The sequence below is a fragment of the Homo sapiens genome, chromosome 2 (genome assembly GCF_000001405.40).
Source record: "Homo sapiens chromosome 2, GRCh38.p14 Primary Assembly".
Lineage (NCBI taxonomy): Eukaryota > Metazoa > Chordata > Mammalia > Primates > Hominidae > Homo > Homo sapiens.
Window position 1 is genome coordinate 164937472 of NC_000002.12, and position 18573 is coordinate 164956044.

Here is an 18573-nt window from a genome sequence, read left to right on the forward strand (position 1 = left end):
ATTATTTTATTTAAAATGTTAAGTCTTTCTCATTTTTAATTGGGTAAACTTACATATAGATTTTTTTGCCTAATTCTTTAGTAGGTTATTCTTGCAGCTTGGTGTTGATAATCTCAGGCAGGTAACTTCTTATCAGATCAGTCTTGGTTCCCCGCACCCACCCCAAGTAGGTGAGCAAGTATTATACATGACTGTCATCACCATGCAACATGGCTTTAAAAATTTTTAGTGGCTCCTGCATGGAATACAAAACTGGTGATTTTAGCTTATAAAAGTAAAAGTGAAATTATGTTTCCTTTTTTCTTCAAGTCTTATTTTAGTGTTGACATGTGCTTTTTTACTATCTATAATTGCTGCTTCTACTTGTCTTACTCTCTTCCTTCCAACACCACACACATTCCTCCCCGTCCTTTTTTTTTTGAGGAGGGGTATCTCAGCTTTTTCCTCTCTGCTCTCCAGCTCTACTTTTCCTACCTGGTTTTGCCCTTTGGTCTGCGTTCCTAGGCCTGTTTTGCTTCTTCCTCTCTGTTCTGTCATTATATCAACTGGTTAAAATATAAACTGGTCTGTGTGTGTCTGTGCCCGGTGCACCCATTATGCTAGGTTTGTGTGCCTAGTCTTAATTTTTTTAAATGAAAAAGCACATTATGGATCCTTTCTCTGATAAGAAAAAATAAATATAAAACTGCTTGTATTTTATGTGAGTCTCATTAACCTTGTTTTCTAAGTTGTTAATTTTTAACTAGAAAGAAGTTTCTATTATGAATTGGCTTATCTTCTGAGGAAGAGAGAGATTAAACAACCTCTCTAAGGCACACAGCTGGAATGTGGCAGAGAGGGAACTCAAGTACAAGCAGCCTGACTCCAGATTAGGGCTCCTAACCACTCTGCTTTGCTCATGGAGTGATTTATTTAGATATCTCAATATGACACTTTTAAGGGGCATTTAGGAAAAAATGCTCAGGTATTAATAATATGACAGAATGTTAATAGCCTTCCTTTTATGAATGCCTCACTCTCTGCTCAGAAGATAACATTTATGTGTACACTGAATATGTGAAATGGAAAATAGTTCAATCATTTTATATAATTCACAGAAAAGCATGTTTTGATACACTCTTGTTTGTTTCCAGATGACTATTAGGGATGGTCAGAATACTTTGAAATATTATGTCTACCCTCAGCTCTACCTGGAAGGATGAACTTCATAAATAGATACACAACATTAAACATCACAGTGAAAAGTAAAATTCAGCCAAACGTTGGATTTTTCAAAATAGAATGTAAAAATATTATATAAACAACTCTTTTTAAAAATATCTTATCAGAATGTTTGGCATTACGTAGACGTAGTACCAATAATATTTTGGGTAAAATACAAATATTCCTTGAGAGTAAGTGCAAATGAGCATCTGTAGTGAACTGAATAATTATTTAATTGTTTTCATTAGAAGAGTTCAGTATTTCTCTTTAGTAATATGAATCATAAATATTGGCAAAATTCTCAAAAATTGACCAATCAACACATTGCAAATTAAATTCACTGGATGAAAAATAAGCACAATAGACATTGTAATTTACAAATAAATATATTTTAAGACATTAAAGTTATTCATTGTTACTTCTTAATTTTAAATTGTTTAAACCACCTACACAAAAGATGGAATACTTTTCCAATAAATTAGATTTGCTTTAAATATAGTTCTTTATATTTTCTAAATTTAAAATGTGCTGTCTGACATCAGTGTATCTACCTTAAAAAAGAAAAAGGAAGAATATATTTAGTTAATACTCATCAACTATTTAATCATCGGTTCTCACAAACTAATGATTCAAACACAGTTCACTCTAGCATCACCATTAAGTAAACCAGAAGAAACTAAAGATGAATACCGTAATTAAGAACTTTGCCAAGTAGACAGTAGATTATGCAGGCAACAAGGTACATTTCTATGCCCATTTAAAATGTAAAAATTACCTTTCCAAGCTTTGCTATATTTCGGTACAAGGATAAAGGCAGAGTAAAGGTAACTGTGGAAAGTCCAATAATGAAGTGGCGACCAATAAACACGTTTTCAGGATCAACTAAAACACAATAAATATTATTAAATGTTACAGGTATAAGTAACACATTGGTGACACACTAAATAGGCCAGCATTTAATTATAAAAATTACTTAAACATAAATACTACCTCAATGACAATAATTTTGAGTTAATACTCTCCATAAAAACATATAAACATAAAAATAAATCACAAAAATACAAACACAAAAAAATTTCAGGATGACTTATACTTGAAATGATGTTATAATATTTCACATTGAAATTATTTTACTAGCCTCCTTGACAGTTTTCATGCTTCTGCCTTCTTTTGTCTTCTTAGAGTACACTCTTAATCCAGAAACTACAGAATTCCTTTTCTAAGGTAAAAAACATTATGTCACTCCCTGCCCAAAACTCTTTAATGACAAAACCCTTCAGGTAGAAAGTAAGCTATAGGAGGATGATGCATTTTCTAAGGTTTTTTTTTTTTTTTTTCTATACGCAAGAGACTTGGACACTAATACTCTAACAAAATTTCAAAAAGATTTAGATAAAAATATTTAATATATTTCTCTACTTTTGTCAAGAAAAAACTGGTTTCCCTGAATGGCAGAAGCAACATATTGGATAGAGAAGAAGTCACAGGGAAGCTGCTGCAACTGGTAGACACTGCAGATTCTTGGCTATATGGTCAAATACAAATAGAAAATTTTATATATATATATATATATATATATATATCACATATATAATTATATGTGTTGTGTGTATAATCACACATAAACAGAAGTTTTAAACATGAAATGAAACATACAAGGATTTATATATTTTAAAAGCTCTGCTAATTAAAATAGTCATTTAAGGAGCTATATATCTATTTCAATGAAGACGCTATTGTTTAAATTTTTAGCTCATATTAAATTTCACTCAGAGATCATATCATTATATTGTTACGATGTCTTCAGTGGTACCAAGTCATTGTGCATCAATTTCTGCACAGTCTAAAGTCTATAAAGATCCAGTCTTAAATAAGTGAATGATTGTGGTAAGAAAATAAAAGCTATTATCCTAAACAATGACACTACTTTTCTTAGATGGCTAATAAACCTACAAGAAAGTTTCAAGAAAGAAATTTCAAAATGACATAAATTTTTACCACATATATGTATTATATATATGATTATTAGATTATTAGTATTTTCTATATATGTAGTGTATATATATGTATATGATGTATATATATATGTGTATGTGTGTGTATATATATTATATATGTGGAATGGAATATTTAATTTTTAATACTAATGGAATAGTTGAAATCAGCCATAACTAAATAGTCATTATAAAATTAAGAATTAAAATAACAAAACAGGAAAATCAATTCCAAAATCCATGCACTCACTATTTACATATTTGTGGTGAATATAATTTGAACCAAATTATTTGTGTATCTATTTCTATTTACCCTTTAAACGTTTTGCTTCACTGGGAAGTTGCTAAGGGCTAGATAAACGCTGACACAGAGTGCTATGATCAACAGGTAGGAGCCTAATAACTGAGGATCCCATTTGCATAAAGGATGTTTTTCACTAATGCTCTAATGATGAGATCTATTACCTATATGGATCTATCAAAAATGCACCCAAGTATGCATTTTAAATGTTTAAACAACAGTAACGAAAGGTGAAAATTGAAATTTTTGAAAATAAAATTTTTGAAAAAATTTAAAAGCATGTGAACATGCTATTTTTTATACCAACATTTCTTGTTACTTTGACTTATATCAAGAGCCAAGGTTTTGGCTACCAGAGAAAAGTATAAGCAATTGTCTACTTGTCAATTTAAGACATTAGTGATGTATTTCAGAATAAAAATAGAGCTTTGGTAAGAATTTTATAGTATCCACTTCTAAAAATACTCTGGCATAATATGGTGCCTCACAAGATATACAAACAGAATGAACATTATAAACTGTCACACCCCAAAATGGTGAAGATGCTGTAAGAATAAAGTTGTGTTCTTTGCCATATGAACTACATTTTTAAAAAGTCATTTTTGATTATTACAAAATTGATAACCAGGAAGAGGGCTTCAAAGGACCATTAGCCTTTTCTATAATATTTTATTTTTATGAAGAGCGTTATTCATACATTCTTTGTATAATTAAAAATTAATAAAAATTAACAATCAAAATGTTTCTATCAAGGAAAGGTAAATTAATTATGGTCACTCTAACTGTACAGTAGGTACTGTACAGAATACTGAACTTCCATTAAAGCATATATATATATTTACGTTTTGATATGAGAATATGTTCTTAAAATATTACTAAGAGAAAGAAGCATGTTATAGAACAAGTTGTATGATGTTATATTATTCTTACGAATATCTGAAATTACATGTATTCTTAAAACTCTGAAAGCATAAAAAGGAAAAAGGAAGGAAGGAAGAGGAAAAACAGGAGGGGGCTGAAAGGATGGTTTCCACCCGATTGTCTCAAGAAGAGATTATTAGTATTTTCTGTTTTCTCCACTGGGCTTGTCTGTGTTTTCTAATATTTTTCAAATAAATCGGCGCTACTTTTCGAATAGGAAAATACAGTAATAAAATATATTTTTAAATTAGTAATTCTCTTTTGAAAAACCTTGGAGGCCAGGTGAGATGGCTCATGTCTATAATCCCAACACTTTGGGAGGCTGAGGTGGGCAGATCGTTTGAGCTCAGGAGTTCGAGACAAGCCTGGACAACATAGCAAAACCCCATCTCTACAAAACCGGGCGTGGTGGTGTGCACCTGCAATCCGAGCTACTTGGGAGGCTGAGGTGGGAGGATCACCTGAGCCCGGGAGGTCAGGAATGCAGTGAGCCAATTATGCCACTGCACTCTAGCCTGGGTGACAGAGTGAGACTCTGTCTCAAAAAAAAAAAAAAACAAAAACAGAGAGAAAAGAGAGAAGGAAAGAAAAACCCTTAAGAAAAACCTTGAAAAATAACAAAGAAAACCCCCCACAAAAATCCCATGAATCTCATGATTAAAAGATAACCGCAGTTTATATGTAAATGTATTTCTTTCTTATTTTTTCTTACTTGTATATGCCAATAGAAAATTTACATAATTTAGATTATATTCTGTGTCTTATATTCTGACCACTTTCCTTAGCATTCTACCCACTCGTGTGGCCTCAGCTTATGCATTCATGCTTTGGAGTTTGGGGGCTGGCACAGAAGCTACAGACAGTTCGGGGTAACAATAATAATAGCTAATAGTACTGGGTAAGTCTACTGTGTGCTAGGAACTACCTGTCTCACCTCTTTTGCTTCACACAACTATTCTATGAAGCAGATGATATTCTGATTCATAATTTAGAGGTGAGGAAACTGGAACTCGGAGAGGACAACTAACCTTCTCAAGGTCACACAGCTGGTCATTCGTGAGTCTGTGATTTGATAGCTATGTCTCCGTGATCTCAAGTTCCACTAAACCCTGTGTGAGGACTAGGTATGCTTTCTAGCTCTAGGTTTTGTTTCATTTTGTTTTGTATGTCTCTAGAATGAGTGATTCAAGCACTAAGAGGAAAGGTGTTTTTGCATCCATCTCCTCAACTGTAATAGCAACCATAGAGAGTTTCACAATGAAATGGGGATTATGTAGCTTGGATGAGAAGCTCTTCAAAGCAAAAAGACACATGATCTCTGAATTATTATAAAAACCATGACATAGTGAAAAGTTGAACAGGGAGTGGAGTTGTAGCAATATGTTGAAAAGGTCTGCTAGAGAATGTTCACACTGGCTTTTTGTAATTACCCTAAACTGGAAACGACACAAATGTCCCTGAACTGGGTGATAGATACACTATTGTACATCCATAAAATGAAATGCTTCTCAGAAATAATTTGTTAAAAAGAGCAAACTACTGATATATTGAAAGACACAGCTGAATCTCAAATGCACCTTTCTAAACAAAAGAAGCCAGACTCAAAAAAGCTACATATGGTATGATGTCATTTACCTGGCATTCTGAAAAAAGCAAAACTGTAGGGAGAGAAATCTCATCAGGAGGTTGGAAGAGGGAGCTGGAGATTAGGATTTGACTACAAAGGGAAATGGGGAAAACTGGAGGGAGTGATGGAATTGTTTTGCATTATTTTTATTATTTTTAGAGACAGAATCTCTCTATGTGGCTCACACTCCTGGGCTCAAGCAATCCTTCTGCTTCAGTCTCTGGAGTAGCTGGGACTACAGGCACATGCTACTGTGCCTGGCTTGTCATTCTGTATTTTGATTGCAGCCATGCTTATATGACTATATGCCTTTGTCAAAACTCACAGAATATAGTTTCTTGGTTTTTTATTTTTTTTGAGACAGGGTCTCACTCTGTTGCCCAACCTGCAGGGCAGTGGCACGATCACAGCTCACTGCAGCCTCCACCTCCTGGGCTTAAGTGATCCTCCCACCTCAGCCTCCCAAGTAGCTGGGACCACAGGTGTAGGCACCATGTCCTGCTAATATCTGTACTTTTTGTAGAGATGAGGTTTCACTATGTTGCCCAGGCTAGTCTTGAACTCCTGAGCTCAAGCGATCCACCCTTCTCTGCCTCCCAAAGTGCTGGGATTATAGGCGTGAGCCACCATGCCTGGCCACAGAATACAGATTTTAAAGGGTTAATTTTACTCTATTAAATTATTCCTTAATACAAATAATGGGGAAAATAGTCTGCTTGCTTATTTAAGAAATCACATAGTTTAAATAGTACATGAAGAAATGTTTGCCCAGAGAGCTGGTGATATGAAGCATAAAAAATTTAAAATATAAAGTATTCTAAGTATTTAAATAGTAACAACATTTTTTCAAACAGCTAAATAAGAACTAAATTATGTATAAAAGTAGACCAAAACTTTAAGATCAGAATGGATCATGGATATTGTGAGATACCTGAAGTAATCCAATAATTTCACTTTCAAATTTTTTATTTATAATTATGAACCATGTTAACTATAAATAACTATATAAAATAAATATATTTAAATCCTCACAATTTTTATTTTGGCTTACCTCCTGGGATTCTTTGAAAAACTTTGCTCAAAGTATCTCCAGCTATTATATTGTAACTTATCATTGCTAAAAACATAATTAAAATAAGAGTCATCAATAAGCCATCTCATATTTCATCCTAAATATTTTGAAAGCAATCAGTTATTACTTCCCAAATATTGGCATAATCCTACTGCTTCAAATGTATATTATGATTACCAGTTTGGACAACTTTAAAGATAACTGGACAAGAGATCTATGGTAGAGTATCAATTTGTATTAAAAAAAGATTTTCTCTTTACAAGTTGATTCATCTCAGAATACCTTTAAGTAGCAAGTTTTGGTAGTTATTAAAAATGCAATTTATTTTGTTGTTAAAGTTCAGTTTCCAAACCCCTTTTCAGGAACACGTGTGCTGCATAAAGTGAGGAATAATAATAGAAAAATTTGAAGACACTAATATATCCCCTCCATTAAAAAAGTAAGACTTTTTTGGGAAATATATTCTTAGCCTTCTGTGGAGACATATGGAACTAGTGGTTTGAACAATACCTTCCATAGTACTGATTTTTAAAAATGAAGTCAATTTGGCCATTAGTGAACATTAACATTTCATTTTTTAAGAAGTGCTAGGTGACATTCTCACCATTATGGTATAAACTTTAAATAGCACATTGGCCTAGTACACGGCTTCCACAAATCCTTTGCTTTTTTTTTTTTTTTTAAAGTATTAAGCCTTATAAGAAATGTGTTATTTCTCTTGTTCACTCTTTATTCTAGGTCATTCAATTTTTTACCAAGTACAGAAAGCCCAAACATTAACCTAGTGAAAATAACCCTCATTTTATTTAAAAGAAATAGTCAGAAAATAAATCAAAAGGACCAGAAAATAAGGGAGAAAATGGTTAAAGAAGTAAACATTTCATTTGGGAAAGATTTCAACTGCTATAGTGATATTCTTTAATGACTATTAAAAGTATTTTATTCAGAAATGACCATATGCTTATGCACATAATTGCAATATTTATCTTCACAGTCAACTTACCTATAAAAGGATACAAAAACTGAAGAACAGAGAGGAGCAGATACCCTGGAAAGCCGAAAGTTTTATTGACCAAAGACTGGTAGGTATCTGTTCCAGAGAGGGCCCCTCCTTTTATCAATAAAACAAGGGAAAAGTCTGTGGCAAGAACATCAATTAAATGTCAGATTACATGTAATACAAATATTTTTCATGTTTTAACTTAATTACCATCGAGAAAAGGGGAAATTTTAAAGAAGCATTTAATTTAATGCTGCAGTATTAGCAGAGCCAGGCTAACTTTCTTTTCATAAAACATTACCTTTTATTAAACAGTAATGTTTCCAGTTACATATTTTTCAATCAAGATGCAAATATATACTTAACATACCCATGCAAAGAACAGGACAGAAAAGAAAACAGACTCGAGTCAAACTGCCAGTGTTCCATTTTACTTTCCTGATGTAACCAATGCAGCAAATATTATCAGGTTGAGGCTCAATTGTCAAGGAATAGGATGTAGGTAATCAAATATTTCATAAGTATTCAGTGTGTGAAGACTGAGAATTAAAGGTGTGGTAGCATGTAGAAAACAATACATTTAGGAGAGTCAGAGAATTTGTTTTATAATATAATAAAATTAGTAACTTTATTTTATAGTTATTATGGTTAAGAAAGAGACACTCTATGAAATTTTGCTGTTGAAATTTACATTTTTGGCCGGCGCAGTGGCTCACGCTTGTAATCCCAGCACTTTGGGAGGCCAAGGTGGGCAGATCTCGAGGTCAGGAGATCAAGGCCATCCCGGCCAACGTGGTGAAACCCCATCTCTACTAAAAATACAAAAATTAGGCAGGTGTGGTGGCGCACACTTGTAGTCCCAGCTACTTGGGAGGCTAAGGCAGGAGAATCGCTCAAATCCAGGAGGCAGAAGCTGCAGTGAGCCGAGATTCTGCCACTTCTCTCCAGCTTGGCAACACAGCGAGACTCCCTCTCAAAAAAAAAAAAAAAAAAAAATTTGCATTTTAAGAAACTTCAATTGAAGTTAGAGATAGATATATACAGAAATTATATAATGAAAAGTCAGTTGCCCTCATTGTTTTCATTTAACTCAATGGTTTTTACGGAAAGACACTGCAGTTTTATTTGGTACACAGCTACACACACAATGTGAGATACTTGTTCTCTTTTTTCTCTTTCTCATTTTTATCCATTAAGTAATATGGAAATGCATTAAAATGCAAGCCATTGCAATATGGTTTCCCCCTGATTCCCATATCAGTGAAACTTCTTTCAACAGGATCATCAATGTTCTCCAAGTTGATAAATCCAGTTGATACTTCCTAGATCTTACTCTTATCTGCTCTTTCGGAACACTGTTTCTCGTTGTCGTTGTTGATCATTCCTTTTATTCTCAACCATTCTCCTTTGGCCTTTGTGACATCTCTTTCTTGTGGTTTTCTTCCTGCTGTTTTGGTCATTTATACTCAATTTTTCACCAGTTTCTTTTACTCTGCTCAAGTCCTGGATTCTTGGACTTTTTTATCTCTTTTTTTTTTTTTTTTTTTTTTTTTTTTTTTTGAGATAGAGTCTTGCTCTGTCGCCCAGATTGGAGTGCAGTGGTGCCATCCTGGCTCACTGCAACTTCCGCCTCCTGGGTTCAAATGATTTTCCTGCCTCAGCTTCCTGATCAGTTGGGATTGCAGGTGCCCACCACCATGCCTGGCTAATTTTTGTATTTTTAGCAGAGACGGGGTTTTGCCACGTTGGCCAAGATGGTCTCGAACTCCTGACCTCAAGTGATCCACCCGCCTAGGCCTCCCAAATTGCTGGGATTACAGGCGTAAGCTACCGCGCCTGGCCTTTTTTCTCACCCTTCAAGATGTACTAGTGTGATCTCACTTATGCTGTGGTTGCAATTTTCATTTAGATGTTAGTAACCTCTAAATTTGTGTTTCCAGCTCAGACCCCCTTCAAAACTTCAGACTTCTACAGCCAGCTGCCTAATAAATATTTTGCTTTGAAGATCTCATAGGCATCTTAATTTTAAAATATATAAATTCTAATTTGGTTATTGGTTCTGGAATTTGATTCTCTATCCATATTTCTCCAATCTGTAATTAGTATCAACAGAAACTTGAGAATTTCCCCAGACTTATCTTATTAATCATTAAATTATTTCATTACTTTCTATATTCCTGTGGTTACTAAGTCTATTAACTATTGCATCAGAAATATTCAAATGTAGCCCCTAATTTGTAATCTTAACTTGCCTTATGGTAGAGCTTTGGCCTTCATAATTTCTTGTCTGGAGTACTGCAATAACCCCCTAATAGTTCTTTTACCCACCAATCTGGCCCCCAACAAAGACACCTTTGATTTCTCCTTCCTACCAAGACATTCTCAACATTCTCCCTCCACCAGGTGGATCTGGCCATTGATTATCATAAATCTAATTTTGCCTTCTGCTTAAAATATTTCAGGGAGACCCATTAATGCATTTGGATAAAAATTATTTATTAGCTGTGTGACTTTGGGTGAAAGATTTGAGCTCATCTGTAAAGTAAGGCAATATGGCACCCTTGAAGAGTGGTGTGAGGATTATGGTGTTTAATGTCCACCACAATGCCTACTGTCTTATAGAAGCTGAGTGGGAACTAACGCTATTTCTACTTATTTTTGACAAGCTGCACGTGACAGTGGGAAAAGTATTGTATTTGGAGTCAGATAATAATGATAACAACCACAAACTACTAGCAAATGCTTACACAATGCTTTTCTGTGTGGTAGGTCTTTTTCCAAATACTTTACAAATACTAATTATTTTTAATCTTCACAACAACCAGAGGTAGGTGCTGGTTATCATGCCCATTTAACAGATGAGAAAAGTGAGGCATGAAGGTTAAGTAAATAGATCTCTACAGAAGTATTAAAAGAATCAGGACTTATGCCGTAGTAGTCTGGCCTCAGAATCCATGAGCTTAATTAAAATCCCAACTCTATTGCCAGTAACTTCAGACCTTGCCTAAGTCATTTTAACCTACTGAAGTCTCAATTTTCTCCTCCAAAAAAGTAAAACATGAACACCTACCTCAGAAAGATTTCACATTACGACTGCATTATGCTCAGCATCTAGCTCAGGAAGTGGTAATGATTATCATTACATGAGAGGCTTCCTATCTGCCTTTGCAAACCTCTCCAACTTCCCCTCTCTCCATTTGCAAACACCAACCCTACACTTTAGCCAGACTAAATCACTTGTTCAGTTGCATTTTGCATTCCCACATTTCCATCTGCTTCCATTTTCTCTGCTAACTCACTTTTTTTTTTTTTTTTTCATAAATACTCAGAGGAAGTATCTCCTCCTCCCTAGAACATTCCTGCTCTTTTGAGGCTAGGTTAAATGCCAGTCTCTGTCATCATGTACATATTTTTATTATGGTATTTTTTATAAAGTGGTATAATTATTTTTTTTTTCTGCTTGACACACTATATTGTGACCTTCAAAAAGGCAGGGATAATGTTCCTCATTGCTATAGCTGGCATACTGGTGATCGGTATATATTTGCTGAATAAATCAATGATCACTATAGCAGGATTGCTATATGTTTACCCATCGGATTCTAATTTAATGTGATAAATGACCTAATAAATATATTTTTATTTATTTAATTTAATTAATTAATTTATTTATTGTTGAGACTGAGTCTCGCTCTGTTGCCCAGGCTGGAGTGGAGTGGTGAAATCTCAGCTCACTGCAACCTCTGCCTCCTGGGTTCAAGCGATTCTCCTGCCTCAGCCGCTTCAGCTTCCTGAGTAGCTGAGACTACAGACACAAGCCACCACATCCAGTTAATTTTTGTATTTTTAGTAGAGACAGGGTTTCACCCTATTGGCCAGGCTGGTCTCGAATTTCTGACCTCAAGTGATCCACGTGCCTCGGCCTCTCAAAGTGCTGGGATTACAGGGGTGAACCACCGTGCCCAGTCCTAAGAAGTATTAACAGATTTTAAAATATCCTGCAAACACAAAGGAGATATCAATAAATTCTACTTCCTTTGCTTAAAATTAGGAACTGCTTCACAAAAAAGTTGAATAATGCCTTGAAGGAAGAACAAGATTTCACCAGGTAGAGAAGAAAAGGAATGTCAGGCAGGAGGACTATCAATGGGAAGATGGTGTGAAAGCTTATTCTCTCTCCCTGGGTAACAGAATTCTCCATGATGGCTGAGAACGTCTGCATGTGACTGTTGGTCACAGAGTGAGAGAGCAGTTAGAATAATTGGAATGAGACTAAAAATGCAGCCAAACTATGAAGGAATTTAAATGCAATATTTTGTTGTTGTTGTTGTTGTTGTCCTTACAGAGTCTCGGAATGTTTTGATTGTGGAGTTTATAGAGTTCAGGCTGAAGTTTTATAAAAATAACTTGCAGCAGCATGGAGGACTGATGAGAAAGTAGACAGATGCTGGAAGCAGGAAAACTGAACAGCAGGTCACTGGCCAAGGAGAATCAAAGAGCTAGATGCTGAGAATAATGCAGCCATAACGTGAAATCTTTTTGAGGTAGGTGTTCATGTTTTACTTTTTTGGAGGAGAAAATTTGGACTTCAGTAGGTTAAAACGGCTTAGCCAAGGTCTGAAGTTACTGGCAACAGAGTTGGCATTGATTCTCCTCCTTGATTCTCATTGATTCTCATATAATTTATATACAATTTATATACTTATGTCACAGAGAGGAGGCAACCAATTTCAGAGATGGTATGAAGGCTTGCTGAAGAAGGGTATGGTTGGGATGAGAACACTGAGCATTTTATAAAAGTTCACAATGATCACTTAAAGGTAAAGATGTGTTAAGAATTTAGTCAATAATAAATGTAAATGCTTTCATTTGCTTATAAAATACAGGCTACAAATATATTCCCTTAAAAGTTTTAGGTATCTTAGGTATTAATCACTATAATATTTTGATCTCCCTTTGAATATATTGTATGCAACCTTTTTAAAAATTCATGAATGAATCTGTTACTTAACAAAAGAATTTTCTTTTAAATAATTTTGTATGCTCAGACAATAAAAATTATTTTATGTTAATCAACAAATTTGAAAATCTTAAAGCAAATTAGAATTATTTGCTGTAAATTTTTATAATTCTTTTTGTTCCCCAACATTTCATAACATGAAAACAGAACTTAGAAAAACTTGCTGTTGAACTGAACATACCTCATTAGTGGCCTTAAAAGGCAAAATAATAATTCTAGAGGCAAACCACTGATTAATTATAGCTCCAATCTAAAGAAAAATTCAACATTATACCCTACATGTAGATTTTGCTCTTAAAAGTCTAATTAAGAAAAAAAATGAATCAGCCTATATTTTTTTTCACTTTTATGTGGTCATCCTTTATTTATCAGTTATTTAAGAATTTGGATCATGCAAGTAAATTTATGAGTTAGTAATTTCCACTAATAAGTAAATTTGCAATATGTGAATTTGCAAAGGACTTCTCACAGTTATTGTTATAGGTTTATATATGGCATTAGTTGAAAAAGTTATTCACATTATAGTTTATTTATGTATAATACGACTTGGCTTTAGTATACTGTTCATTCTCATCAAGTCCTGAACTTGTATGCATACTTTTAAATGTTTTCTACCTACCTGTTTACAATGTATGTAAATGTTTACAATGCACTTAAATAAACCATAGTGATTATGGTGGAAATCAATTATTTGTCAGTGCTGATGGGAAACAGGAAATTTAAGAATGACAGGGACAAATCCTTGAATGAAATTTTTTTTTTTAGTGTAATAAATGCCCCAATAAGTAGACTGCAATTTTTAAACACCAGCAACTCTTAATAAGCACACTTAGGTCTCATGCTGCTAATTTATGGGTCTTAAGTTACAAATTAAGAGCTGTAATAACTAGAAGCAGTTTAGGTCTTAAGGGTGGAGGTGGTAGGAAGAAGGCAGGGAGCTCAATGCCTCTCTAGCTTTGAATTTGAAAACTATTTCATGCTTTACTCTGTCTTCGTCAGCCTGAGAAAAAATAGCTGAGTGTTGGGCAGGTCTTGGAAGCCTGAGGTTTTACGAGGGATGGCATCTTGGAGGATCTCTAGAAGCAGAGCTGAGACAGACATTCTTGGGCAAGGGGTCTGTGGATGAAATGCTCCAGAAGAAGGGGAATGAGAGGACAGGGCAGGGGAAAGAGTTCAGCAAGTACTGCAGTGGTGGAGCCCTGGAGCTCCAACTGTACCACACATTGGTCCCCGTGGAGGCAAGGAGACCCCCTGGAGGCCCAGGGCAACACTCCAGAGCAAAGGGCAGCTGAGGTGTTTTGCACTAGCTGGTAAAAGGGCATCTAATCCACCACAGCAGCAACTCCTGTGAGTGGTGTCTGTTTTTGATCATTGCCACCACCTCTTTCACAGTGATCCTAAGGTAGAGGAGACGCCATGTTTGTCATAAGGTGAGATGGTGGGATGACAAGGCGGGGACGAGGACAACAAAAAGAGGAGATGATTATGAGTTGTAAAGCCTGCATTTAAATGGGAGAGTGACAAAACGTGGGTGTGAATGAACTATTTACATGAAGAAGGGGAAGCAGAAGAGAAGATGTGATACAGAAGCAACTTATTGCTGCATTTAAAGACAGTAGCAGGCAGCGAGTTTGGGCAGGCATAAGCCAGGCGGAGAGGCTTGATGAGCCCTGCTGGTTGATCACCAGAGCTTCATTTCTACCTCCACAAACAACAGCTGAATAAGGTTGCTCATTCACACGCACCTGCCCACGAAGCCCTGCTATCTGCACTTTCAGAGCACAGTCGTCTCTTAGCCTTAATGAAGCTTTAAAATGACTTCCCCATCTACTACTTTCTGCAAAAAGTGAAAAAGGCACATGAAAAGGATTTAGGCTTGGTAATATATAATGCTTTTCTACTTTTTCTAATCTGTTTAAAGGATTAGTAAGAAAAGTAAATCTCCTCAGGCATAAATGCTTAAATTCTTTAGGATTCTTTGATGCACTTTTTAATTAACTAGGAAATTCAGTTGCAGCATGTGTGTGTGTGTGTGTGTATGTGTGTAGTTATTGCACAGTTGAAGTTGCAGAAATAAGAAATTATATAGTATTTTACCTGTAACATATGAAACCCAGAATAAAAGCAATATTCCCAAAGGAAACCCAGCTTGCTTCATTGAATAAGGCAATCCTGAAAAAACATAAAATGCCCCACCCTTCACATTAACAAGAAAGCTAGAAACACAGAAATTCCCCCCTTCAATTTCTGCATATAATAGGTAAAGTCAATTTATATACTTATATGACGTATTTGTAAGTTGCACATAGGACAGAATTAATATTAAATGTTAGGTATTAATACTTATTTCAGAATAAAATGTTATTAGCTTAGGGACAAGTTAAGAGAGCAAGTTTCTGAGGTGACGGAATAAGAATTAGAAAGCAGCAAATGAAAAACAAATGCCAGTTCACACAAATAACGTTTACTTCAGGGTAAGAGTGACATAGCCCTGCAATATGTGGAAAGTCATTACCTCAAATCCTTCCTTACCTGCTAGCCAAGAAAGCAGAGAGGATAATAAGGAGCACAGAAGGGTTATGGAATATTAAGAAAGACAGACTCTGGAGTCAAAATGGGGCTACTATGTAGGAAAAAAATGAGAGAAAAATGAGAAGGCGAAAGTATTTTTTATAATGCTCAAAGGGGTACATAAATTATTTCTTATAATTTTGGGGGAAATTGACAACTTTAGATTATGGACAATAAAATATTTAAAACAAACACAGTTAACGTATTTCCAGTCAAAATTTTTATTCTCTGAAAAGTTTTCCCTTAAAGAAAAGAAAACAAGCTGCTGAGCAGTGGTACTGTTTAGCATTGCTGACACGGCTTAACTTAACACGTTCACATCAGGAATTAGCTCTAGAATTCTTCTAAGTACAGCTGCTCATACCTTCATGGTACATGGAGGTAGAATTGTAAACAAGTCTTTGTCCCTGTTTCCTTCTACTTTACCTCAGGTAACTCCATTTTATGTATCATTTGGAGAAAAAAAAAAGACTATCCATAGAAAAATGTAAAATCAAGAACCATATTAACTTGTGAAAAGTAAGAAAAGTAATTCAAGAGTAAGAAAAGTAACTCAATCCAGATAAATGTTTAATTTTCAGAAGGTGATGACAGAAACAAAAATGTTGCAACTTTATAAAACATTGTATTCTCAAAAAGTATTGCATTTTGCAGGATTTTGTTTTCTTCTTGTCTTTTCTGAGATAGAGTGTTTTCAGATACCAAAAAGAATAATAACCACTGAAAATATAGCTGCTTTTATTACTATAATGCAATGCACTTTTAACTTTTTTCAGTAAATTTCCCTTGCTTCTAATACAATGGAAAAATCTGAGCTATTTATTTATTTTAATTCTGATTGTATGGCTCCTTTATTAGGAAAATAATACGCATTTTCAATGAACAAATTTGCATTGTTGACTAAATAATATTTAAAATTAATATATTGTAATAATTTTGTACTTTAAAATTTAACACTGTATAGATAGGTAAAGAATGTATGAATTTAATTTTTCATAAGATTGGTATGTTTTCATATTAAACTTTTCACCTCCAACATTTACAAATATCTGGAAGTTTTATACTTCTAGAAAGTTAAAGAAAGATGATTCAAATAATGATGGACCCTTCAGTAAGTGGAAAAAGTACATTCGGTAACACTAGCAATCAACCACGCAGCCTACAGAAAAATGATTCACCACCACCCATATGCAGTTTCACCTTAATCTACCACATGTGGAAGATGCTCTCAACTGTGGAAACAGTGTGAATTACAGCCCCATCTTCAGCATAAAAGACATGCATACATACTGTTACACTAGAAAAAAAGGAAGCCTTTTATGGAAGAAAATTACCAATTTTCTTATTTAAGTCTTTTTTTCTTTAAAAATAATTAATGAACACTAGCAGCGTAGCGAGTCTTAAATTTTGCCCTTTCACTTAAAATTTAAACCAAAGCAAATACACTTACCTATTATACCAGATCCTATAATCGAGTTGACAACATTAAAAAGAGCAGCAGACTGACAGGTTTTCTCTTTATACTCATGTTCAGAAACAAGGGTTTCTCTGTCATCTAAATCTCTCTAATAGATAAAATAGCAATTATAAGCAAATACTAGTTCAGAAAATTAGAAAAGTAACAAATATGTAATGCAGGATACTAACACGATTTTCTAGTAATAATAAGTAATGTCACTAATGAAAATAAAATAAATGCCGGGATAACAGTAATAAAGAATAACAATAACAGCTAGTAATTCAACAGAGCTTGGTAAGCAAACTCCATCCTAAAATTTCCAGATTACAGCTGCCCCAGCTGCTAAGTACAGGATCTGTTAGGAATTCAGTGATGTGATTTTGTGAAATTAAAGTGCCTGCTAAGAAAAAAAAAAAAAAAAGTCAGATTAAGGCAAAACTTTTTGTCCCAGAGAACTTTTCGCGGTGCTAAACCAAGAGCCCAGGTGAAGGTAGGTGACCTGACCTGTTGCAAGGTGAATGAAATTTCCGGACAACTGGCTTCAGAACCTGCCTAGTCGCTAGTTTTACCTGCGGCGGGATGACAGGCTCCTGCCTCTGGTAGCCCATGGCTGAGCGGTGGTCCTCAGCAGGTGGAAGATGCTGGGGCTGGGTACGGATTCGCACCCGGCCAGCCTCCTCCGCCACCTCGCACACAGCCGAGGTCCGCGTGTAGCCGCAGAGCTGCAGGGAGCCAGTTCCACGGGCGCCCCCTGCTCCCTCGGCAGGCCGCGAGGGCTGCAGCCCCAAGATCTCTAGGCTGTGGCAGCCTGGGGCGCTTTTCCACCGGAGTTCGCCCAGACAAATGTATTTTTCCTCCGGAGACGGAGATGCTGCAGGATGTTTCTGATCCGGGCAGCCCTGTCTCCCCGCCTCCCCCCTTCACACCCCCGCCTCCCTGAGAGAACAGGGAGAGCTACTCTTCCCTGGAGCTGCAGAGGACAACTTGTTCCACCCACGCTGCCCTGCCCCGATCTCACAGAGTTATGACCGCCTCGTTGCAGTCCGTTCCTAAGTTAGCTTCTCCTTTGCTGGGGTCTGAAGCCCAGGTAAGAACGCAGAAGCACCCTTGGGCCCATGGGCCATCTTCCCTATTAGCACCTCCTCCTCGCTACCCCTCTTCAATGGCAGAGACGACGAGTGAAAATTTGGGACTTTTATTGTAAATGGAAATGGAAAGACTCATAAGAAAATGAATAGCAAAACAAAAAACTTTCCTAGGGTTTTAGCAAACTTGACTACTGAGCATGCTTTGGTCAAACGCTTCCTGGTAACTTTTAGAAAAAGGAGCGATAGAGAAAATGAAGGTGGATTGTTACTGCATTCAGGTAATGAACCTTGAAAAGGGAAAGAGGAGTACAAGGGTT

General features: G+C 35.5%; 1 protein-coding gene across 6 annotated transcripts in view; it reads right to left on the bottom strand.

Annotated features, from left to right (window-relative positions):
- Positions 1–18054, bottom strand: part of SLC38A11 (solute carrier family 38 member 11) — a 61172-nt gene extending 43118 nt beyond the window's left edge. The window contains exons 1-7 of one of the 6 annotated variants that reach the window (NM_001351538.2): positions 17738–18054; positions 17160–17274; positions 15671–15761; positions 15236–15310; positions 8122–8256; positions 7098–7163; positions 1979–2085 (exon numbers count right to left, since the gene is read on the bottom strand). In NM_001351538.2, the coding sequence (NP_001338467.1) occupies positions 1979–2085; positions 7098–7163; positions 8122–8256; positions 15236–15296 (369 nt within the window). In that variant the 5' untranslated portion in view covers positions 15297–15310; positions 15671–15761; positions 17160–17274; positions 17738–18054. Of the gene's footprint in view, positions 1–53; positions 236–1978; positions 2086–7097; positions 7164–8121; positions 8257–15235; positions 15311–15670; positions 15762–17159; positions 17275–17737 lie in introns of all 6 variants that reach the window. The other 5 variants (NM_001351537.2, NM_001199148.2, NM_173512.3 and 2 more) reach the window with 5 other exon arrangements.
- Positions 18055–18573: the final 519 nt, after the last annotated feature.